Here is a 26,005-nt window from a genome sequence, read left to right as displayed (position 1 = left end):
CCGAAGTGTTTAATTCAGGACCAGCTAAATTATGGTACATCCATGCAAGGGAATAATACGAGCACACTAAAATTATGATATAGCTCCCCATTTATTGATATGGAAAGATGCAGCTGACATATTGTCAAGTCAGAGGAGCAGTACTCAAGCAGAATACATGGACACAAATTCACTCTTTTGTGTAAGTATGTATGTGTGTGTGTACACACACTACCAACCTGATGCCTGCCTGTGCCCTCTCCTGCCTGGGGAAAAGCCAGAGCCTCCTACATGTTTTCCTGAGGCCGAGGTGGGAGGATGACTTGAGGTCCGGAGTTCAAGACCAGCCTGGCCAACACGGTGAAACCCCAACTCTAGTAAAAAAATATACAAAAATCAGCCAGGCGTGGTGGTGGGCACTGGTAATCTCAGCTACTCGGGAGGCTGAGGCAGGAGAATTACTTGAAGCTGGGAGGTGGAGGCAGTAGTGAGCCGAGATCTCGCCACTGCACTCCAGCCTGGGTGACAGAGCAAGACTCCATCTCCAAAAAACAAAAAACAAGACAAAATCCCAGAAAAACTAAAATACAAGCTGGATCATGCCTCTCTTCTGCTCAGAATACTACAATTGCCTCAACTCGCTCCGAATAAAAGCATCAGTCTGCACTGATTAACAAGGCCCTACACAATCTGCACACGCTTTCTCTGTCAACACCCCCTACCCACCTGCTCACCCTGACCAACTACTCTAGCTTTCCTGTTCACCATCAATTCTCACCTCCTCACCCCACATGCCCCTGCCTCAGGGCCTTTGTACTTGCTGTTCTCTCTGCCTGGAATGTTCTTCCTCCCCCAAGATCCCCAAAACCACCTTCCTTAACCACTCCACACCAGCACTCCCTACCTCCCCCAGCTTTCATTTCCCCCAAGCACTTATCACCCTCTATGTAGTCCGTAGGATGCATTGTCTATCGTGTCCCAATAGAACCTCAGCTCCTTGAGGCCAGAGGGTTTTGCTCCCTGCTGTTTCCCTAGAACCTAGCATAGAGCTTGGAAAACATCACTCAAATGAATAAATTACTGAACAAATGAACCAATGAAGAAGATGATTCCAAACAGGGAAATGTGTAATAAATTAAGTGAACATAATAGTGGGTTAGAGAGTTCGTATGAGCCAGGCAGGCAGGTTACTTCTTCTGTAGAGAAAGTAGCCAGAGGTGGCTTCTCTGAAAGGTGGCATTTGAGCAATATCTCAATGAGAAGGAGCAGCCTTGCACTCAAGGACTCAGAGCAAAAATGATCCAAGTGGAGGGAACAGGAAACACAGGTGTCCCAAGGCAGAGAGTATCCAAAAGTTTTCAAGGAACTGAAAAGAGGGTATATCTCAAGAGTTTTTTGTTTGTTTGTTTGTTTTAACAGAAGCCACATGGCGGGTGATGTTTAATGATAATTTTTCTCTGTTTAATTGTTGTTTCTATTACTTTATCTATGAAGATAGATTGAGTGTGCAAAATTGGGACGCTCAACTCTGCATGTCTCTCTTGGACTGAGTCCAGGGTCAGAAATCCTGGTTTTCCTTGGCTCCCCCAGGGTAGCTCTGTGGTTTGTGATGATGGGTAAACTACGCTGGCCCTCTGTAAGATGCGGACATTAGGGCTCTGTATCCCATCTAGTCTGAAACACGCATAATTACATGTTTTCCCCATTCTCTGCAGAGTGAGATTAGACACTCCTTTCCCCTCTGGTTCCAGTGCAGACCCCCATCTTAAATTTACATACAGATAAATAAGGCTGCCCCTAGCAACAGCTTGCAAACTGTTTCATAGAGCAGGCAAATTCTTTTATTATTTATTTGTTTGGATGTTTTTATTGTGGTAAGAACACTTAACATGAGATCGGTCATCTTAACAAATACACAGTACGGTATTGTTAGCCATATGCAAATTCTTAACATAGTCTTGACTGTTTCCTGCTCACCTACCTTCACCCAGATACTCATGTGAAGGAAGAGAGGAGCTATTTTGAAGAGCTACGTTAAACCAAAACCGACCATCGCCACGTTTATGTTCTAAATGAAGTGGCATTATTTATATGTCGATGTTACAATAGATCACTCTGCTCTTCTTCCCTCCTCCTCCACCTCCCAGAGACTGGTGGAGAAAAGATAAAGGAAAATTTACCTTCCGCCTGCAGAAAAGGGTAGGGCCCGACTAGAAACCTGCTAGTCATCAGAGAGCCTGATTCTTCAGGTATATGCAGGTGGCTCTGACAGGAGAGAGGTCGAATTTGCTCTCAAAGAAAAGAGAAAGATGCTGGGTTTCTGGAGAGAGCCCAAGAGAAGGAATAATGGCGAACAAAACTGAAAACAGAGAAACACAGTATGTGTGTGTGTAGTGGCATGGTGGAGGGGCAAGGAGGGACGTTTCTTGAGTGATGTGGTGGGTGGCCCATGGGAGATGTGATTGAAGGGCTTTTAACTGTCTGATGTCCCATTTGGGGTTCGTGGTCACATGCTGCTCTCACTTAATCTTCATTTTCATTCGAAATCATCAGAGAAGACTGATGCATACAAACGTATCCTTGTATGACCTGTTCTTACGTTTTGTTTCACTTATTCATTTCTGTGGCTGGTTTTTGTTGTATTCGTTTTGAGAGATCAAGGACAAGGGCCGGGATTCTACACTGGGCAGCTCTGATATAGAAGAGTTTGTAATGATGGTGAATTGCCAAAGGACACTGATTCTGGGAAACAGAGCTTTCTGAGACAGCAGGGGCTGGGGAAAATGTGGACTAGCAACAGGTCAAAGTTCAAGTTAGCTTTGTGCCTCCTTTGTCAGATGGTTGCATTAGACACAAGTCTATGGGCTGATAGCTCATTTTCATTCTTAGCAAAGCCATCTCCTGCAATAGTATGCTTTATTCTCTAGTCTTTCTTTCCCTTATCCCCCCACCCAAATATAAGGCCAGGGACTTTGTCTGTTTTGTTTACTGCCTGAGTCCTAGCTGGTACAGAGTGGATATTCCATATATATTTGTTGTTCAAATACATATGTAATTTTTTTCAGTGTTTTTCTTTCTCTTTCACCTTAAGAAGTGGTGAGCACATTTGCTGGAAGGTCTGTCATTCTCATAGACATCATTTTTAACACTGGCTGGGCTTCCCCCCAAGGAAACCTCAGACAACCTCTCTGGGGTCACCCTCTTGCTTCATGTGGTGGATTAAATGTTTTCTGTTCATTATAATCTTTCGCAACCGGTATTTAGGAACCGATGTATTATCTGCTTATCTGTGTAATTCTCCTCTTATTTAGACAGTTTACAGTCTTCAGATTTCTTTCTTTCTCCACTATTTAAAATAAATGTTAAGTATAGCAGTATAACATATCTTCAGAGAGAACCTGAGTCTTTCAGCCAAGGGAAAATGTAGGCTCAGGACACTTTCTGGAGAGCATCTTTAAGATGATACTTCAAGGAGCAACAGGTCAGAAAATAGAACAGGGTCCAATTAGGCAAATGCTTTGTGCAAAAATCTCCCATGGCTTCTGTGAAGCTGCTTTTTGTAAGAATCCAAAATTGTCTTCTGCAAGTAAGGAGGTTTGGCACACTTTGGGGGTGGGGTACGAGGAAAAGGATAGTAGAAAGCAAACATCATACTCTGCTCTCAGAAAGTTGGAATTTTTTTAAGAGACAGATATTATGAAAATCAACTTCTTTTATTTTCTGACACACGTCAGCAATTCAAAGTTTCTTTCAGAGGCCAGTTGAGTCCTCTTCAATACAGCATATCTCCTCCTGACTATGGTCTTGCTCAAGTACCTCTTTGAGCCTCTCTCTCCTCATCTGTGAAATGGGAAGGATGGCAATGTGCATTACCCACCAAGGACAGGAAGGAGTCAGTAAGCCAAAACATGGGTAGGGAACAGCACCGTGGCTGGCTCACAGTAGGTGTGCCAGAAATAGTGAAGAAATGAATGCTAAGTCCTTTCATTAACAACTATTGTTATTATATGTCTGTTTCTGGCTTCCAAATGAAATGTGCATTTAAGATTTGTCTCCAGTGTCTTAATCCAAAAGAGACAATATGAGCTATTCAGGGCCAGTAGGAGAGAGAGAGAGGAGACTCTTTTGTCTGGTGAAGGAAGAGGAGGAGAGTCAGACCTTCCAGTGCCCTGATGTCAATGAATGGGGCAGCCACCTAATTGCTATTGACTTTCACACCTTCAGTGGAGGCCAGAGCCTGGGAAGATCCAGAGTCCTGGGTTCTAGTTCAGGTTCTTCTACTTCCTAGATGTGTGACCTCTCAGGTGTAGCTTTCTGTAACTGCCCAATGAGGGAGACAAAAGAGGCTGCCCCACCCAAGGTTGTTGGGACCATCAACAAGATAAGAAAGGTGTGGTTTCACCCAATGTCCTCTGTAGCCTCCATTTAGCTGGGACTTGAGCTAAGCACGTGGCATTCAGGACTGCATTTAATTTTCATACCTACCTTAGAAGTGGGATCCCATTGTGATCCTCACTTTACAGATGAGACAATGAAGACTTGAAGAAGTTTAAAACAAACTAAAATAGAACACAATCTTGCTGAAGGTCACAACCCCAGTTCGGTGGGGTGGGTATTTAAACTCAGGAAATGGACTTGGTGGTACCTCTCTAACTCCCTCCCATGCCCCTGCAAAGCCCCTGAGCCAACAGAAGTGGAACATTCTGAAATCCTACAAAGCTGGCTCCAATATAGAAGATTTCACAGCCTGTGACATAGGTGTAGAATAGTGACCCGGTGCAGCTATGGCCCAGAAAGAATTTTGAGATCCCAGATTTGGACAAAAGGCCCAAGAGATGTGGTTTTCCAAGTAGCAGAGTGACAGCCTTACTTAGTGACTGAGCTTGTGGATGCTGATAAGCAGGTCCCAGAAGCAGCAGTGGGGATCTTGGGGGATGGAGTAGATGCTGCTGAAGCCCAGTTACCCCTTAATTTGGGGATATTTGGGCCTGGCTGTTGTCATCATCCCCCTTCCTGGGCACAACCCACGAGGAGCAGAAAGAGGAACTGAGCAAGGCCCCCTGGTGTGACCTCCTGGTGGAAGCAGAAAGTGGCACCAAAATCCAGGTGCTGTCCTACTGCAATGGTGTCTTCCCCATGGGGGCTGCACATGCCTGGAGCCTATGGACAGTGTGGGCTCCCCTGTCTAGGCACACAGAGGTGTCGCGTGGGCACAGGAGGTCCCAAGTACCAGGGAGCTGACCTCACCACATGTTCCCTCTGTCTTCCCAGGCCTTGTTTCCTTTTATCTGCTGATATAGTTTGTGTATAAGAAAATGGCTGAGATCTGTGAGTTTTGTCACTGGTATCTTTCAGCCTAGGTCCAGGCCTCTTGGATTCAAAGTCTATGCTCTGAACATTGGACCATACAGCCTGTCTACAAGACTAAATTTCATCAAGCTAAGGCTCTGAGACAAAGGATAGCAAATAGACAGTCAAGGCCTTTGCCCCAAATCTCCGTAGACATCCTCTAGTCTGATACACAACTCAATCTAAAGCTCAGCACTACAAATATTTGGGGCTGGGTACATCTTTGTTGAGGCAAGGGAGAGCTGCTGTCCTGGGCATTGTATCACACTTAGCAATGTCACTGGCCTCTACCCATTAAATGCCAGCAGCACCATCTCTTCCCACCCATTGTTGGTTGTGGCAACCAAAAATGTCTCCAAGCAGGCAAAATCACACTCAGTTGGTCTAAAAATGAATGATCTATAGAACCCCAACTTGCTGGGTGTGGTGGTTCATGCCTGTAATCCCAGCACTTTGGGAGGCTGAGACACATGGATCACCTGAGGTCGGGAGTTCGAGACCAGCCTGACCAACATGGAGAAACCCTGTCTCTACTAAAAATACAAAATTAGCCAGGCATGGTGGCACATGCCTGTAATCCCAGCTACTCGGGAGGCTGAGGCAGGAGAATCGCCTGAACCCGGGAGGCAGAAGTTGCAGTGAGCCGAGATTGCGCCATTGCACTCCAGCCTGGGCAACAAGAGTGAAACTCCACCTCAAAAAAAAAAAAAAAAAAAAAAGAAACCCAACTTATGTGTATAATTTACTGCCAAGTAAAACAAAAGTCAGCTCAAACTCTTTAGTTTCCTCTTTAGATTTCAGGTCCCCAGACTCAGAGAGCTTGGTAAGTTGACAGCAATAATGCAGAGAAAATGATGCCACGTAAACCAGCCTCTTAAAAAACTTTTGGGGTGATAACAGAAAAACAAGAATGATTTAAAATTGCAATTTTGCAGAAGACTAGAGGCAAAGCATCACCTCTGTGTGCCCTTGTCCACTAAAGCATATGATCAATGCTATATTAAAACAAAAGCATGACTTACGGAAAATGAGGGGAGGTTTTTGGCTTACGTAATCTTTCTTTTTGACTGGAGAACATGCAGTTCAGCCATTTTGTGCCAGAAAGAAAGAGAGAGGAAACTATTAATTTGAAATTCCAAGAGAATCTGTGATATTATAGCCAAAGTTTTCATGCAACATGAAAGTCATCACAATCCCAGTACAAATGAAACCACAGTCCTCAGCTATCTGGGTGTACATAGAAGTGACAGCTTCAAGAACGTGTTTGCCATTTAAAACAGTCAGACTTAAGAATGCATTGTTCCTCTGCCCAGGGTAACAAATGAAATAAATGAAATGGTGGTGTTTGTGCTGGTGATGCAAACACACGTCAGTGCTGTGTGTGATGCCGTGGCTCTACTGAAATTGGAAAAGTCCAGGTCCTCCATCCTTTCCCCATCAGGATTGCAACACCCCTCCGGAGCAGCTCATTGGGCTTGGCCAAGTACCCTCTGAGGGCCAGCTGTAGTGCTTTAGCAAATAAGCATCCAGAGAGATGTCTGGCCTCTCATGGGCTCCAGCCCGGATGGCCAAGAGGAGCTAAATTTAGCATAGCTATTGTTCATCGGATAAGCGTGTTGTTGCTTGTTTGTTTGTTAACATGTTGGTATGTGACCACCAGGCCTGATGATAATCAGTTCTGAATTTAACCCACCCAACCCAGTCCCAAATGACTCCTGTTAACTGAATTCACTTGGCTCGATATGAGGGCCGGAAAAGAATCCACTAGCAGCTAATAATGACAGTCTGTCACTCCCATCTGGAGAGGACACCCAGACAGTGGGTCTCACATGTTTCTTTTCCTTCTCATTTGGTCCCATCACCTACTCCTTCCAGCCTTCCATGATGCCAGCCCCAGCACCAACCACAGCAGCATGAACAAAAACCAGCAGAGAAACACCCACTAAGTGTCTGGCATTGGGTCTACTGCTTACCTAGATTATCTCATTTAATCCTCAAAAATGGCCTTACAAGGCAGGTACTACATTGACTGTGGTGATGGCTGCATAACTCTGTGAATATACTCAACACCATGAATTGTACACTTCAAATGGCTGAATTGTATGGTATGTGAATTTTATCTCAATAAAGCTGTTAAAAAATGTCATTGAAAAAAATTGGAGGCTACTAGAGAGAAATGTATAGCCTTAACTTTGCATATTAGAAAAGAAGAAAGGCCGAAAGTTAATGAGCTTAGTACCTGATTTTATAAATTGGAAGAAGAACTCTCTAGGGTAGAATGGATTCCCATAGCCAGAGACACACAGCCTGCATGTGGCACAGCTGAATTCCCATGTGGGCTTCTTGGACCTTGTCGTTTCTGTTCTTACTGTCATGATACAGTCCGTGACCTGCCAGGGCTCTGGTTCAACCCACTATGAGCTACTGGGAATCCCAGGATGTAACATTCATCTTTATATCCCTATGGCCTTGCACTCAGTAGGTCCTTAATAAATGTTTGCTGCGTCAATAATCTGCTTGAATTATTTCATTATATTGATTACACCAACCTATTCTGTAATGATTTTCTCTAGCACGTTCACAGGTGATTTATGCTGCATTATAACAGAGTATTCTCTCTCATTGCCAGGGAGAGGGTGTGCCTAAGTGAAAGATACTCAGAGAAGAGTATCTGCACACTAAAACTCTCCAAATGAGTTTGGAAATGAAACAGTCCAGAGACCAGTGAATGCATGAAATGATTTCATGTGACGAGGCAATGATTGAAAGCCAAGGTCTGATCTCTTTGCAATTTGTTTCCTAAGCAATTGGTACTCAGGGGCCAGCTGGGCCTTGCTCACTCCTCAGCTATTAACAATCATGTTAATGGGGAAATACGCTGGCCCTTCAGTCCAGAGCACTCCTGAGATTCGGGAATATTCTCCTTGTCTGTTTCTTATCTACTGAGTACAGTTTTCACGTTAAGAATAAGAGCAACCCCTGAAGATCAGAGAGTGAGATGCTGAAAGGTGTTCACACTCGCCACTCCTCCTCCCTTAAAGATGAACCTTAAAAGGGTCACACTTAGTACCTAACTAGTGAGGACAATGTTGCAAAACAGAAAAAGGCATTTTCTGATCATCTTTTGGTATATAGAATGCAGGCATATGCCCCTGTAGGTTAGTTTATTTTCATTGTTTATATGTGATTGTTGATTTTGTTTCTTTAATGTTATTTCAATAACACTTCTCTTTATTAATACTTTATTTTGGGGGACAGGGTCTTGCTCCGTCACCCAGGCTGGAGTGCAGTGGTGTGATCATGGCTCATGGAAGCCTTGACTTTCTGGGCTCAATCAATCTGGCCACCTCAGCCACCTATGTAGCTGGGACTACAGGTGCATACCACCACACCCGGCTCTTTTGTTGTTGTTGTTTTTTAATAGAGACCAGGTTTTTCCATGTTGCCCAGGCTGGTCTCAAACTCCTGGGCTCAAGCAATCTACCCACCCTTGCCTCCCAGAGTGCTGGGATTACAGGCATGCGCCACTGTGCCTGGCCGATACGTTTTATGCAATATGATCATGGATGAAATTAGCTTCAAGTCATCCTTGAGGGAAAGTACCTGAAAGGGGCTGGATGAAGCAGAACAGAGCTTTGCTCTGGTCTGTTCCTGGTCAGTGCATGAAGTAGCCTGCATTTGAGGAGCAGCCTGAGGGAAGCCCCGGCCAGGCCTCTGTGGTCCCATGAAAGGAAGAGAATGGATTTTCCTACCCTGAGTTATCTTCAGAAGAAGTCAATCCTACTGCACAAGAGGAAGACCTGGGCAGCAGATGTTGGACTAGGAAGAGGGGCGAAACCCTCCCTTCCATCTCAGGATCTGTGAGTCAGCTGAGCCTTTAATCCCAACCCTGAAAGAACCTTCACACCTCCCTCTGCCAGATAAAACCAGATGAAGGCAAAAGGGAAGTCAGGCAGGAGCTGGAGCCTAAAGCCACTTAGGGTGGACTGGCCCAGGGTGGGAGAGGAAAATTATCATCTGTATAGGACTTTCTTCCCATTGTCCCTACATCTGAAGAAAATATCATTAAAAGTAGGATTTTTATCTTTCTTGTATTCTGGAAATTAAGGGGAAGGAGCTGTGTTGTTTTTTAGGATGATATTAGATAAGGCGTCTTCTCTCCTAAGAATGGAGGAGTAATGATGACAGAGCTTTGCTCATTGAAAAGCAGTCAGGGCAACGTGGGGTAGGGGTGAGAAACCTGCATGAGACAAAACAAACACAACCCAAAAAGCTGCTCCTGTGCCTGTACAAGACCGTGGAGAGTTGCTCAAAAAGAGACTGGATTGCTAAGAAGGGTGCTGTTTCCAGCAATAAAGCCAGAAGGGACTCTTGTCATTCGCATCAACAATTATTTAAATGGATGCCTAAGAGTCCATCCAGTGGCCATAGTATTTTCAGACTTTACTGTGACTGACATCTAGATTGTTTCCAATTCTTCAGTCTTAGAAAGAATGTCACTATGTCATCTTTATGCATAAAACATTTTTCTATTTTTTACAACTGCTTTATTGAGATATAATTCACGTACCACAAAATTCACCCTTTTAAAGTGACAAATCAGACGTTTTTAGTGTATTCAGAGTTGTGCGGCCATCAGCACTATCCCATTTTAGAAGCTTCTTTTTTGCTATCCCCAAAAGAAACCCCTTACCTAATAGTGGTCACTCCCTACATCCCCCCTCCGCTGACAACCACTAATCTGCTTTCTGACTATGAATTTATCTATCCTAGACCATTCGCATAAATGAAATCATATAATACGTGGCTTTATATGACTTGCTTCTTTTACTTTGTGTAATGTTGTCAAGCTTCATCCATGTTATAGTAGTTCATCCTTTTTTATGGATGAATAATATTTCATTGTGTGGTTATATCACATTTTGTTTATGGATGAATAATATTTCATTGTGTGGTTATACCACATTTTGTTTATGGATGAATAATATTTCATTGTGTCGTTATACTACATTTTGTATGTCCATTCATCAGCTGATGTCATTTTTGTTTCCACTTTTTGGCTATTATGAATAATGCTGCTGTGAGCATCTGTGCATAAGTTTTCACACGGATATACACCGCAATTCTTTGGGGATATGTATGTGTGGGTGGAATTGCTGGGTCATACAGTAACTAGCTATTTAACATTTTCAGGAGCTACCAAACTATTTTCCAAAGTGGCTGCATCATTTTGTAATTCCACCAGCAGTGAAGCTTTTTCCATTTTGAAGATTCCTTCAACCAGATAGAATTGCAGCAGTGGAATTCTAGAACCTGAGTATACATATCTGAAAGGTTCTTACTACATATGCCAACCTGCTTTGCCAAAAGGTTGCATAGGCAATTTTTCAAAAAGCTCTCCTTTGCTTTAGCTAACTCAGATTCATCACCTTCCAGATTTGGCACAAATTTAGTCCAGGAAGGTTTATCCCAACTTGTCATTGACTCTGCTACCCATGCTCCACCCACTTCAACCATCACCTCCACCACCCCCACACCTTGCACAGATCTTCATGTTCAATTGGAAAATTAGTTTGGAATGTTCTCACTCTTCACCTATGTGTGCTTTTATTATTATTATTATTATACTTTAAGTTCTGGGGTACATGTGCAGAACGTGCAGGTTTGTTACATAGGTATACACATGCCATGGTGGTTTGCTGCACCCATCAACCTGTCATCTACATTAGGTATTTCTCCTAATGCTATCCCACCCCTAGCCCCCCATCCCCTAACAGGCCCCGGTGTGTGATGTTCCCCTCCCTGTGTCCATGTGTTCTCATTGTTCAACTCCCACTTATGAGTGAGAACATGCAGTGTTTGGTTTTCTGTTCTTGTGTTAGTTTGCTGAGAATGATGGTTTCCAGTTTCATCCATGTCCCTGCAAAGAACATGAACTCATCCTTTTTTATGGCTGCATAGTATAGTATTCCATGGTATATATGTTCCACATTTTCTTTATCCAGTCTATCATTGATGGGCATTTGGGTTGGTTCCAGGTCTTTGCTATTGTGAACAGTGCTGCAATAAACATACGTGTGCATGTGTCTTTATAGTAGAATGATTCATAATCCTCTCTGTATATACCCAATAATGGGATTGCTGGGTCAAATGGTATTTCTGGTTCTAGATCCTTGAGGAATCACCACACTGTCTTGCACAATGGTTGAACTAATTTACACTCCTACTAACAGTGTAAAAGCGTTCCTATTTCTCTACATCCCCTCCAGCATCTGTTGTTTCCTGACTTTTTAATAATCACCATTCTAACTGGCGTGAGATGGTATCTCATTGTGGTTTTGATTTTCAAGATCCTTAAGGTCAGGTACTATGTCTTTAATTTATGTCCTCTTTTGGCAGAGGCAGTAGGGAAGGGCTCTGCATACAAAAGACACACTGTGGAGGTTTTCTGACCAGTACTTTAAAAAGTATGTACATTGCATCAGTGTCCCTGCATTTGCATTATTAAGAAAGCTGTTTGACAGGACTGAGGTTCCTGCTTCCTGGGTGCTCTATGGAGATTGCAGAACCTTTGAAAGCAGAGAGTCAGCTGATTTTGGCTTTCATATTCCGGGGGATAATTCTTACCTGAGGGAGCTAACCTGTATTAGGCACTTACCAGGTGCTTGCCATTTTTGCTATATGCTTTATAATTTACCTTATTCAATCTTCCAAGCAATCAATATAGAATTTAGCAACTAAGCTGAGTGCAGTGGCTCACACCTGCAATCCCAGCGCTTTGGGAGGCCACAGCAATAGGATTGCTTGAACCTGGGAGTTTAAGAACAGCCTGGGGAACATAGTGAGACTGTCTCTACAAAAATAAAAATGAAAAAATTAGCTGGGTGTGGTGGCACATGCCTGTAGCCCCAGCTACTTGGGAGGCTGAGGCAGAAGGATCAGTTGAACGCAGGAAACCGAGGCTGCAGTGAGGTGTGATCGTGCCACTGCACTCCAGCCTGAGTGACAGAGTGGGACCTTGTCTCAAAAAAAAAAATAAAAGAATTTAGCAACTAAGTGCCTCTACTGCTATTTTACACATAAGGATACTGAGAGGCAGAGGCATAGCCTTGCAGAACTCAAGAGTGACCCCAAACCTGGATCTCATTTCACTATTTGATGATGCTTACAATGTTGTTAAAATTATGGAAAAATAAAACATTTTAAATATGATAGGAGTTTCATTCTTTTATCCTTTTAAATTACCTTTCTAAAAGTTCTTTACCCTAAAAAATGTGGCCACATTTTCATGTGATATCTGGTTAGCTGATGTTTTTCTTTGCAATTGACATCTTGAGATATCTTGAGAAGTTTGTATATTCATTTTTTCTTTATTTTAAAATGCCCGTTGTTTTATGAAAATTAGATGTACTGTGAAGGAAGATTAATAAAACTAATTATAAGAGGGGAAAAGTGACAATGAAGACAATCTAGCAGACATACACAAGAGTACTGGAACATCACGCAACATTCTACTAAGCCAGAGAGAAATGCTTTAGTTTTATGCAGTGGAGAAGAAACCATTGTATCTCAGCCCTGTATCAGCTGGGATAAGGAGCTATGAAGAAGCAATCTTAAGAGAAGGCAAAGTGAGAATATAGACAAAGGGGACCTTGTCGGCCCCTAGGGAGAGCTCAAGACTTCCTCTCCAGATCCCCAAGAATCAATTAGAAAATGGAGTAGGGTCTTCCTGTCCTAGGTACCAGGTACTAGGCAATAGGGGCTGGAACTTCTACATGCTTTGGCAAGAGTCTAAAACCTAAGGAATGAGAGGATAATTTACTAACTTTTTTCAATATTTCAAAAATTTTAACAGAAGTGTTATATCCCCCACTGCCTGCGCTGCCCCCACCTCTGCAATAGGCACATACATGCGCACACACACACAGCCACAAAACTACCTAAAACTTTGTTTCTTTGCTTTTGACTATAATAAGAGTCACCTGGTGTGATAGCAGCAATCATCTAATACTGCTGAGAGGTGGGGCAAAGGGACTAGATGTTCACTACACCCATTTCCTCTTCCTTCTGAACACCCAGCCAGACTACATTTCCCAGCCCCTTTGCAGTTGGGTGTGTTTGTGAGCCTGAGTTCCACCCATGGAATGAGAATGGAAGTGATGTGTGCCACTCCCAGATCTGGCCCATATAAACCCCTCCCAAGCCATCCCCCAGACCCTTCCCTTAAGCTGACAACCTTGGGACCAGTACTGAAGACTGTAGTATCTCCAGGGGAAAGGAGCCTGGATCCCTGAGTCACTGCATGGAGGAAAGTTATTTGCTGATCAGGAGCACCTGTTTAGAATTTCTATGAATGAGAAATAAATGTTTGCTGTACTAAGCAGGTGAGATTTGGAGAATTATCTATTATAGTAGCTAGCATTACCCTAACTCATTCAGGTGTAATAAATGGCAACTGATAAAGTGAGTTTCTGAGTCCTAATTGGTACACTGGATACTGATAACCAGTTATTGCTAGGTAGTGTTGAGGAATTCCTCAAGTTTAAATTCTTCATCTCATAGATGCATCGGCTGAGGGCTTCAGTGATTTGTATGAGGCCACAGAGTAAGTCACCACAAAGCTAGGACTCAGATACAGGATTTTTGATTCTGTCATTGGCTCTTTCTAACACACCATTTGACATCCCTTTATATATTACCTATGCTGGCGGCATGGGCCGTTGTAATCCCAAAGTGAGTATTGAATAGCTAAGAACCTGGGCCATGCTAAAAAAAAAAATGAGATAGAGCCTCCCCCTTCTGGCTACACTTTATCAATTACAAGGGGAGGGGAAGATAGCACATTCTTGTTTGTTTGTTTGTTTTCTGTTATGTACAAACCAGCAATTCAGGGGCTCATTTGATTGCATTTATATCTCAGGAGAGAGAGAAAGTCATTTGATGACAGTCATCTCATTGGCTTTGATCCATGTATTTCCTAGGATCAACATCTCTTTTCCCTACTAATAAGAACCAAATAAGAAACTAATAATAAACCTTATGGGTATGAGCTGAAGTGGCTATAGAGTGATAATAGAACCAATAGCCTCTAGTTTTTATTGAGCACTTACTGTATAGTAGGCACCATGCTAATACTTCAAATACACTCATTCATTGATTCACAGCAAGGAACTCATGAAGGGGGACCTATTATTACCCCATTTTAAGGATGACAAAGCAGAGGTTTCCAGGATGAAGTAACCTGTCTGAAGATGCATGGTGCCCACGGGAGACCTTAGGCTTCTTTGAGACCATCATTTATGATCTTAACACTAAACTGAACTGTCTCGTGACTACATATAAATGCAAATGCAATGTTTTCTAGCACCTCAAGAGGTCATAAATCATTGTTTATAACCTTCTTACTGAAAAAATATGGCCACCAAGGGGGAGAATAGACAATTCAGACACAAGTTCAGTGTCATAGAGTCACCTTCCATGGCAGGTTATAATCTTACAGGGGAGTCACATGTGGAAATAGAACTTTGCACTAAGAAACTTGTTCTATCCCATTATTAACCAAATCTCTAGTTAGAAGGTAGTGTAAATTCCAACAAGCTATAGAGGAAAAATATAAAGCACTACACACAGGGATTGGACTCCGACCCGAGTTCAAAGCCTCCCTCTGCCAAGAACAAGCTGTGACCCTTAATGTTTCTAAATCACAGATTTTTTCATCTCCAAATAAAAAAGGAGTGGGGGAGATAATGCTTACCTCATAAGGATCTTATGAGTTCAGCAAAATAGTAAAATAATACTGTTCAAGCACTTATTGTACACTTTGCCTGGCTGTTAGACAGTGCCCAATACATGGCAAGGGTTTATTTCAAGTGTTATTAGTTTTTTGTAAGAAACAACTTCCCAAGTCACCTTGGAAATTTTATGTAACTCAGACCAAACTCTGATTATGTTCACCTTTGTCTTGTTGTGTTTTGTTTTGCACAAAATCCCTGGAGGCTCTAGAACTGCTCAGGCAATAAGGTAGCCACTAGTCACATGAGGCTGTTTATATTTAAATTAATTAAAATTAAAAAGTCAGCTCCTTGGTCACGCAAGCCACATTTCTAGTGTTCAATACCCACATGACGTTAGTGGCTGCTATATGGGACAGCACAGCTGTAGACTATTTCCATCACTGTGGAAGGTTCTCTCGGAGAACGTGGGTCTGGAGGAAGAATAGAGCCTGAAATAATGTAGGGAACATATTCGCTGCAGAGGGTGGTTTGCATATGGCTCTGCTGGAGGCAGGTTGCTGGACCAAATGAGCCACAGGGCTCCTTCTGCATCCAGGAGAATCTAACGCTCCTGCGAGAGAGACTCAATTTTTCAGAACATCTTCCTGTAGATATTTCTTGAATAATGACAGCAGGTTTCTCATGGCAAGAAATCTAAGAAATGAAGGCTGGTGTCCCTCAAGTGCGGATTCCTCTCCAGGGCTTGGGCCCTGAAAGGGTCCAAATGATGACTGATGTTAGGTGAAGGACACCCTTAGAGGGCCCTTATATGAATAAGATTTTCGTATTTGCTGTGAAAATACTATTCAAGGAAAAGATAAAACATTAGAGACGTTGTTTGCCATAGAATTAATGGTCCGAAAGGAAACAGGAATATGAATTTTCTTTACATCTGTTCATCTTTTGCATTTCTCCTCACCAATATGATCATACCTTTATATAAAATATGTTACACAGACATAAAATATTCATATTCAGACTTTTTTAAAATTTAGAGAATAACACCTCAATAACACTTTTTATTCTAAAAATGTTATATTTTCACGAAGCACTCGAAGGCTTTTATAAACACACTTTTGTAATACAGATAGGCAATGTTAAAGCCGAATATATTATGTGCCAAAACAGCATTTATATTACAAATTTGTTTTGTTTTTTAAGAGAGCTAAGGAGAGAGAAACCCAGTTGGCTGCAATTGAATTAAAGAACCACAAGCTATTTTTCTTCCTTGTCTTTTTTGCCGTTCGTGGTGCAATTTTATTTTCCCCATTTTTAAAGATCATAAAAATAGAGCCTATAATATCTATTTTCTTGCTAAATGAAGGCACCTCATTAGTAGATACACAGAAGCATAAAACACTTCCAAGGCTTTGGACTTGCTTCAGTTGAATCACAGATCTTCAAAGCTCTCCTGTTAGCATGCCACTGTGTGGCTGTGTGAGCCATGTGGATAACATACTGAGTATGGTTCTGGGAATGCAGACCAGAGAAGACAAGCCAAGAGGGAGGTCAAGGCTGGGATACCTGGGCCACCTAATGGCATGGAGATGACAATGCAGATACCTCCTTGGCTGGCCAAGAATGAGTAGGCCCGGACTGATGTCCTTTTTAATACATGATCTAGAATTTTACATTCAGCTCATGTTTCTAGGCTCCACCTTCTTCCTTTTGTTCAACATTAGAACTGTCTTTGCCTTTATTCTCCACCCTTCCCAAAGAAGATGAGATTCAGAAGATTCAGCCATCTTCTCCCAGAGTCTGGGAAGTCTGGAAGAGTAGGTTCATGCCCTTTTACCATTTTCACATCTATTTTGAATGTCAATTTCCTCCTCTCCATTGTGCCAGAGATGCTAATCATTGTGCCCACCTGCCCATGGCCCTTCTCTGAGCAAATGGCTCCCAGTGATCTACAGAACACTGCTTCTATCCCCTCAGCCAAAGACAATTAGGTGAGGTCACATTGTCATTCAAAGCTATCCAGAGGTCTAGGAGAAAAATCAAACTTCTTGGTTCCCCAGTTTCTAATTTTATCATCCTATATAGATTATTTAAGCTTTCTAAGCCTCAGCTTCCTCATCTGAAAAGCAAGGACAATAATATTTGCTGTAAGGTTGTTGTCAGCCTGAAGTAAGATGGTGCATAACATAATAGAGCCCCTGGCAAAGTGGTAATGGTCACTGCTGCTGTCATTGCCATCATCATTATAGTCATCATTACCAATATCAACAACATCATCATCATCACTATCATTGTCAGAACTCAGCTGAGTGGAAGAGGTGAGCTGAAAAGTGTGTAGAGTGAGGACTAAGGGTGCCATTTTGATCTATAAGCAATGCACCAAGTAATCAGAAGAAGTCAGTCTACAGATGAGAGATAAATAACCAGGATGGGCAGCACTGGCATTTAGTGGGCATGGACCAAAGTTGCTAAGCATCCTGCAGTGTTCTGGAGTGTAAGTATACAACAAAGCAGCACCCTGAGTCTCACACAACTTTCAAAGATGCTGCTGAACGGTGTGTATATAGTCTAAGCTTCCATACTACATACATACATAACATACTGTTTACAAGGTTTTAATACGTACTGAATTTTCCAGGAAGGTAGCTACTGTGTAATTCATAGAAAGACCGCTGTTTTGTTGGAAATTTGCTGAGAGCCAGTCACTGTGGTGGTTTCAAACATGACTACAAATTCTCTGACACTCCTCTCATCAAGAGGTGGGCTCTGTATACTCACATCCTCTCTGCCTCCTGCCCCATGTGACTGCTTTGACTGAGGGTATGTCAGAGTGATACTGGTGACTTTGGAGGCTAAGTCATGAAAGATCTTGCAGCTTCTGCTGGGATACTTGTCCTTAGAACTCTGCCTGTCTTGTAAGAAATTTAGGCACCCTGAGATCACCAGGCTGGAGGGCCACCTACAGTGAGTCCTGTCTGCAACCCTCCAGCCAAGGAGCCAGGTGAGTGAGTGAAGCAGAGACATCCTGGAAGTGATTCCTTCAGCTTTAACTCTTCCAGGTCCTGGCACTCGACCCATCCCCAAAGAGGCCCCAGACATCACGGGGAAGAGAAGAACCATTCTCACTGTGCTCCTTCTGAATTCCTGACCCATAGGATCCAAAAGCATCATAAAATGATGGTTTGAGGCCACTGAGGTCTAGTTTGTGACACAGCAAGAGATAACTGAAAGACCCACCACTTTGAAAAATCAGGTTGCCAGTACAATCTGACTTTATCAATCTGTATTTGAGGTTGTCATACTCACAAAGATTCTACATATAGGTGCAAATAAATCTGTGGCTACTTCATTGTTTCTTCTTCTGTCTGAACATTTATTTATTTTTCTTTCCAACTTTTAGGTTCAAGGGGTAAATGTGCAGGTTTGTTACATGGGCAAATTGTGTGTTGTGGGGGTTTGGTTTATAGATAATTTTGTCACCTAGGTTATCAGCGTAGTACCCAACCTGTAGGTTTACATTCCTCACACTTTCCCACTGTCCACCCTCAAGTAGGCCCCAGTATCTATTGTTCCCTTTTTTTGTGTCCATGCGTACACGATGTTTAGCACTCACTTATAAGTGAGAACATGTGGTATTTGGTTTTCTGTTCCTGCATTAATTTACTTAGGATAATGGCTCCAACTCCATCCATGTTATTGCAAAAGACATAATCTCATTTTTATGGCTATGTAGTATTGCATGGTGTATATGTACCATGTTCTCTTTATCCAGTCCACTGTTGATGGGAATCCAGGTTGATTCTATGTCTTTGCTATTCTGAATAGTGCTGCGATGAACATTCACGTGCATGTGTCTTTATGGTAGAATGACTTATATTCCTTTGGCTGTATACCCAGTAATAGGGTTGTTGGGTTGAATCGTAGTTCTATTTTAAGTTCTCTGAGAAACCTCCAAACTGCTTTCCACAGTGGCTGAACTATTTCCCATTTCTCTGCAACGTTACCAGAATCTGTTTTTTTGTTTTTTGTTTTTCACTTTTTAGTAATAGCCATTTGACTGGTGTGAGGTGGTATCTCATTGTGGTTTTGATTTGCATTTTGATTTGCATTTCTCTAATGATTAGTGATATTGAAAATTTTTTTCATATGCTTGTTGGCCACATGTATGTCTTCTTTTGAGAAGTGTCTGTTCATGTCCTTTGCCCATTTTTTAACGAGATTGTTTGGGTTTTGCTTGTTAATTTGCTTAAGTTCCTTATAGATTCTGGATATTCGACCTTCGTCAGATGCATAGTTTGCAAATATTTTCTCCCATTCTGTAGGTTGTCTGTTTACTCTGTTGATAGGGTGGTTTTTTGTTTGTTTTGTTTTGTTGTTTGTTGTTTTGTTTTTTTGTTTTTTGCTGTGCAGAAGCTCTTTAGTTTGATTAGGTCCTATGGTCAATTTTTGTTTTTGTTGCAATTGCTTTTGGAGTCTTCATCATGAAGTCTTCACCAAGGCCTGTGTCTCAAATGGTAATTCCTAGGTTGTCTTCCAGGGTTTTTACAGTTTTAGGTTTCACACTTAAGTCCTTAATCCATCTTGAGTTAAATTTTGCATATGGTGAAATGCAGGGTCCAGTTTCAATATTCTCTGCATATGGCTGGCCAATTATTCCAGTACCACTTATTGAATAGGCATTCCTTTCCCCATTGCTCGTTATTATTGGCTTTATCAAGGATTAGATACTTGTAGGAATGTAGCTTTACTACTGTTCCATTGGCCTATGTGTCTGTTTTCTGCACCAGGACATACTGTTTTAGTTACTATACCCTGTAATATAGTTTGAAGTAAGGTAGTATGATGCCTCTGTTCTTTTTGCTTAGGCTTGCTTTGGCTATTCAGGCTTATTTTTTTGTTTCAAATGAATTTTAGAATTTTTTTCTAATTTTGTGAAAAATGTCATTGGTAGTTTGAAAAGGATAGCATTGAATCTGTAAATTGCTTTGGGCAGTATGGCCATTTTCATGATATTGATTCTTTCTATCCATGACCATGGAATGTTTTTCCATTTGTTTGTGTCATCTCTGATCTCCTTTAGCTGTGTTTTGTAATTCTCACTGTAGGGATCTTTCACCTCCCTGGTTAGCTGAATTCCTAGGTATTTTATGAATGGGATTATGGTCCTGATTTGACTCTCAGCTTGGATGTTGGTGATGTATAGAAATGTGGCTCATTTTTGTACATTGATTTTGTATCCTGAAACTTTGCTGAGGTCATTTATCAGATCTAGGAGCTTTTTAGCAAAGACTGGGGTTTTCTAGGTGTAAAATTATATTGTCTGCAAACAGAGATAGTTTGACTTTTCTTCTTTCTCTTTGGATGTATTTTATTTTTTTCTTTTGCCTGATTGCTCTGGCTAGGACTTCTAGTACTATGTTGAATAGGAGTAGTGAGAGTGAGCATCCTTGTCTTTGAACATTTATTAATTAAACTACAGCTTACTTTCTGTTTTAGATAAATTACTTTCTCTGTAAGCCTCCTTTATATTTCAGTTTGGGTAATATATTCACTTTGCTTTGAAATTAAATGTTTAAGTAGGTTATATTATCTATGAAGTTTATTTTAAGGGAGCAAACGGATGTTACAAAATATTTATTATGAAAAGGAAGAGTTGAGTCCAACATGCCAAAACCACCGAGCTAGGCATTTTTTCCCTGAGACCTGGAGAGGACAATTATTTTGTTAACATCTTTCTGATTACCCTGGCTGTCTGAGATTCTTGAGGCATCCCTACAGCCATCCCCTACTATGTCATTTCTTAGCTGGTAGCTTCTTTCAAACTAAGGAGGCTTGACTAGGTCATCCAGTTTAGTACTAACCTGTATGGGCTCTTCTTTTTCCTTGAAAGAGAAAATGGAAGCCCAAAGAGATTAAGCAAAACTGAAGTTTTCTCTGGCATCTGTTGGCATCACCCAGATCCAAGAGGTGGTATCCTCTTCCTTTTTTTGTCTTTTTGCTCTTGATATAATCATTAAACACCAAATAACATTTCTTTTAGTTTATCTTAGTATGTTCTACTCTTCATTGTCAGCTTCGGTACAACCTTTAAAATCCAAAGAATATTTCTCTTTGGTTGTTCCTGACATGTTCTACTCCTTATGCTTTGCTTTCGTTGGTCCTTCTTCCCACTGGTTCCAGGCTTTCATTTGCCCTTGACTAGACCCTGCCCCTTTGGCCTTTATGAAATCTGAGCTTCTCATGTGCATCCTGGGCATTACACCGAAATAACTACTGACTTTCACATAAAAATCAATGACAGTTGGGTATGAGACATTCCTTTTTGGCAGTTGTTCACCCCTGAAGTTTTTAAAAAATTTCTCTCCATGGAAGTATATTGTTGAAAGGTCCAGCTTGCTAAAAATTAAAAAGACTGTAGGTCTTATTTTAGGAAGCTAGTGCCCTGTGCCCTGACGATCGTGAACTCTAAATGGTGGATGGTTCTCCCTTCGTGTTTGTTGAAGATACTTTTGGGGATGTCTTCCTAGCCCTTGCTGATCACCTCCTTTGCCCATCAATGTGGACTCCCAACTGCTTTGTCTGTAACAAACATGCCACTGCCCCTCTGACCATAGCAGATTGGACCCAGGGTGGACAAATCAAGCCAGATAGATGAGGTTTCCCTCATGTGCAAATACTCTTAATTAATCCAGTGTTTCTCCTTTCGTATCAGTTTCATCGTCGAGAGTCTTGTATCATCTGAAAATTCAGTTTAAAGAAGCTTAACTGTAATTTATGCAGGATTTCTTGTCAAATTTGGCCTAATATTTGCAAAAACAATAGAAATTTGGGAGAGCTTTAAAAAGACTGACTAAAGAACATAAGGAAGAAGAAGACACAAAGAGAAAATTATAATGATAGATTATGGAGTTCTGTCACACCAAAAGGAGCATGGGCAGGAAATGTACATTATGGGTGAGCCAGTATAAAATGGCACAAAGTGGGGTCTCTCTTAAGTGGCTTGCTGATGACAGGGTTTGTACAGCTTGGCTTTACACAGACCCAAAATAGACAGCACATAAGTTCCTTAGGCATTGGCACTGGGATCACAGCCTGTGCCAGGAAAAAGCCTACTATAGCTGGATTTTTGCAAAGTTTAGGAAAATAAGCATTTTCAAAAGAACTTGATGCTAACAACCATTTCAGGCTGCCATCTTTGTTTCAGCAAGATAACAGGTGTTCAGTGCCCCAAAAGGTGTTTCTTGCTTTGTCCTGTGACTGTGGACCACCTCTTCCCTGGGCAATCCAGAGAGCTCTTCCACCATCCAACAGCTGCAACCACACTGGCTCCAAAAAAGTCTGAACCCAACTTTTGAAGAGGGATGCACCTTCCATGTCTGCCTCTCCTTGGGTAAGCTCCCTCAGCCCTAGAGTACCTTTAGAGTTCTCTTTATATTTTTATAGTCTCCTACTATAGCTTAATAATTATTTATTTAAACCTATCTATTTAAAATAATGATGATGAAGATGTTGATGATGATGACTATAATAATAATGATAGTTACAAAAGGCTTTGAGCATGATAAATACTAAGTTTTAAAATTATCCTGAGATACCTATTCATCATAATATTTGCAGATTCAAAATACTGGGACATCATGACCTTTGTAGATTCAAAGACCAACTCTGGTAGTGAAAGAACGTCATCCTTAGATTTTGAAATAAATAGCCTTACATTCATCCCTCTTGGGAGATCTGTGCTGAATCCCCAAATGCCAAAATTTCCTCTGTATTTCACAAATTATATTTTAATTTTTGGTATGGAGACTATAACAGCCCACTGATAATATTCTACAGCCCAATGGGGTCTCATAGTGACTTCTGGAAGTTTCTAAAAATGTTTAGGCATAAATTCAGATCTAATGGCCCCAAAGCTAGGCTTGCACCATAAATTACAGCCACTCCTCTTCTCCAACCACAGAACAAAAGCAGAAACATAGACTCCTTTATAAAAAGTGGTATCCAAGAAAAGCGAAGCTTTAACCAGCACTTAGTTATTGCCAGCATTTAAATGGTTAAGTGTCTTATAATACAAGAGAGGGGAGAGTGGAAAGAGGCTCTTGATTTCTGCTTCTAATAAAATCACTAAGCCTCTGGCCCATTTCCCCCCACAGTTCCCCACGGGCATGGCCGTGACCAGCTGGACGGTTAATCCCCCACGAATAATCTTATCACCCAGAGAATGGAATTGGTAACTTTTAAAGAGCTATCTGGAGTCAGAACTTCTGAGATTTTACACCTTTAAAACCCAAATTTGTCAAAGAATCCGGAGCAAATTAACCTATTTCTCTATTCAGGAGAGAAGATGAAATATTTCCATCTTCACTGACAAGGACTTCTGGCAATTTGGATGAATGATGCCAAGAGAAGAAAGCAACCAGCTTATAAACTTCCTAAGGAAGCAAATTTCAAAAGAAACCCCAAACATCACGAATCACAAGCTGCTTTGTTTTCTTATTCATGACCTTCATCTACCTTCCCTTTCATCAAGTAAATGGAAATGTGTCATTCTGATTAACGGTGATTGCTTCCTTGTCATACATCAACTAAAATGAGATGTTTCACCATCAGATTTAAGGGGACATGGGCATATATTTAAGAGGTATTTTTTTAAAAGGCATTCTTGATTATCCATATCACTTAAAAAATTCTTGTCTTCTTCCCACCTCATCCCCTTTTCCTGCAGATCTTTAAAGGTAGAGAAATGATATGACATTCAGTGGTGGTTGATTATAGCCTTGTTGGTATAGCTGTATTGTTTACAAAATTGGTGCAATAATGGTGACTCGTAACAGGATTATAATAAGCCAGAAAATAATTCTAGCTGGCAAGCTCTGCAGTGATTTTCCTACAGAAATCACACCTCAAGCTCCTCTTTTTAAGGAGTTTTAATGCAACTTATTATTTCCCTTCTCGGAGGCAACTTATCTATGTAGAAAGAAAAAGACAAAGAAAACAATCTACATGGATCGTGATTGCAAACATCATGATTTTAAGACATAAATTTCTAGAGGGTGAGGATAGTATGGAAACCTGTATAATGTTAACAGAAGACTCCAGGGGCAGGGACCATGCTGTTGGTTTCTTAGTGTATTCTAAACCTCTAGCACAATGCTTATATTATATTTAGAATTCAATACTTACCTTTCGAATATAGTTGTGAAGGTCAAGCACTGAGTCTAAAACATATTGAAAATCATCCACAAAGGGATGGTAACTAAGGATATGAAAGAGGAAGAGATTAAAAGGAAGTGAATTAGTGAAGGAATGAGTGATTACATCCTCAGGGCTAATAAACACTAAGCAAGATGACAGAGTTAGTGTAACTATGACCTAGACAGTGAACTCCTTGGGGGCAGGAACTACACAACCTACCTGATTAGCCAGCATCCCGCATCAAAGTCAGCTTTCAGTAATGCTTGTGGGATGAACAAGCAGATGGATAAGCGGAGGAAGCTGCTTCAACCTAAACCTTTACCTCTAGGCACAAACAGCAGATGCTGTGCCTGTAATAAATCTTTTTTCTTAAAAATCAATGTAAATTAAGGCCATTTCCTCAGCAGAAAAAAATAACCTGACAAGTATAAGTATGGTTGGGAATAAAAGCCCTGGAGGATAAATGTGGGACTATCTATGCTTGAGAGCTCCTCCCTCCACAGAAGAAGCATTTGTACTTTGTTCATGTTAAGCTAGTAAGATAGTGTTGACGGCTGCATTAATTCTAATATTCATAACCTAAGCTAGCAGTATAAAGTGCCTGGTACTGGTCTGGAGCCTGAATGTGCTATCACCAAATCAGATGCAGACATGGTGTGATCCACTAGGGAATGAGGGTAGACCCTGCCAATTAAGCTATCACAGGGAACCTTATCACTGGGTTTGGATGAAGTCCATTCAAAGCCTTGCACACAGGAAAAGTTCCAAAGAGCATGTAAGTCCTCTCGACACAGAGAAATAGAAGCTGTCCAAGTTTAAGACAACAAACACATCCACAGGGTAGTTAGGGATGACTCAAAGATTCTAAGTCAGGACCAGGAAGCGGAGAAGCTATTAATTGGGTTGGCAAGGTCACGAGAAGGATTTGGTTGGAAGAAGAAAATGGGTCCAATTTTGGGCATATCAATTTTGTGGTGACAGATGGACATACAGAAAGAAATGATGAGCAGAGAGTCAGAAATACATGTCTGGAGCTCCTACAGGCAAGAGTGTCGTAGATACTTCCATGTTAACTGCATATGACTTCAGGTAATGCCAAGGCAGGAGAACACAGAGAGCACAGAAGGCATGACCAAAGAGGTGATAAAAGCAGCCAAAAGACACCAAAGGGACAGTTGGAAGGCAGGAGGGAGATCAGGGCACCCTGGTTGTTCAGAAGAAAAGGAAGAAAATAATTTCTAGAAGGCAATACTCAACAATAATGAATTGGGCAGAGTTTATGCGGACAACGACTGAAGAAATGTTGCTAAGAGATGATCAATGGCCTTCAGACAGTGGGTTTCAGTCATGTTGAGTGATGCAAACTAGAACATATGGATTAAGGATGAGTAGTTATTGAGGCAGTGGGTTCTAAATATTCCTTTAATGTGAATTGATGGTTTTTAAAGTAAGAGCACATATTACACATCTTAGAAGATTCAACTGAAATGTTATTGCCCTGGTAAGTTTTTGCTAATCTCCCAGACAGAAATAAATTTCCATTTCTCTATACTATCATAATACTTTGTCCATATAGCACCTATCATATTTTGCTTCATACTACAATTTTCTTATTTTAGGTGCAGTGCTCCTCCAATGCCTACCCAAAAGAGTTGGTTATTCATGAAATATTTGTAGAATGAATTAATGAAGACCTACTTGTTTACAGGTCTGCCTGTCCAATGTGGTGTGAGTCTTATTTTGCATGAAAC

General features: G+C 41.3%; 1 protein-coding gene and 1 long non-coding RNA gene across 8 annotated transcripts in view; both read right to left on the bottom strand.

Moving 5' to 3' along the window:
- Window positions 1-26,005, bottom strand: part of KAZN (kazrin, periplakin interacting protein) — a 1,225,220-nt gene that overhangs the window by 872,541 nt on the left and 326,674 nt on the right. The window lies entirely within an intron of this gene.
- Window positions 1-26,005, bottom strand: part of LOC107985467 (uncharacterized) — a 53,718-nt gene that overhangs the window by 10,160 nt on the left and 17,553 nt on the right. The window contains exons 2-3 of one of the 2 annotated variants that reach the window (XR_001737611.2): window positions 25,953-26,005; window positions 1-24,315 (exon numbers count right to left, since the gene is read on the bottom strand). The exon at window positions 1-24,315 is cut by the window's left edge and continues 10,160 nt beyond it. This is a non-coding gene — a long non-coding RNA (uncharacterized LOC107985467). The other variant, XR_001737610.2, reaches the window with a different exon arrangement.

The sequence above is a fragment of the Homo sapiens genome, chromosome 1 (genome assembly GCF_000001405.40).
Source record: "Homo sapiens chromosome 1, GRCh38.p14 Primary Assembly".
NCBI classification, from domain to species: Eukaryota; Metazoa; Chordata; class Mammalia; order Primates; family Hominidae; genus Homo; species Homo sapiens.
Note: the sequence above shows the minus strand (reverse complement) of the source record. Positions and strands in the feature narration are given on the sequence as shown.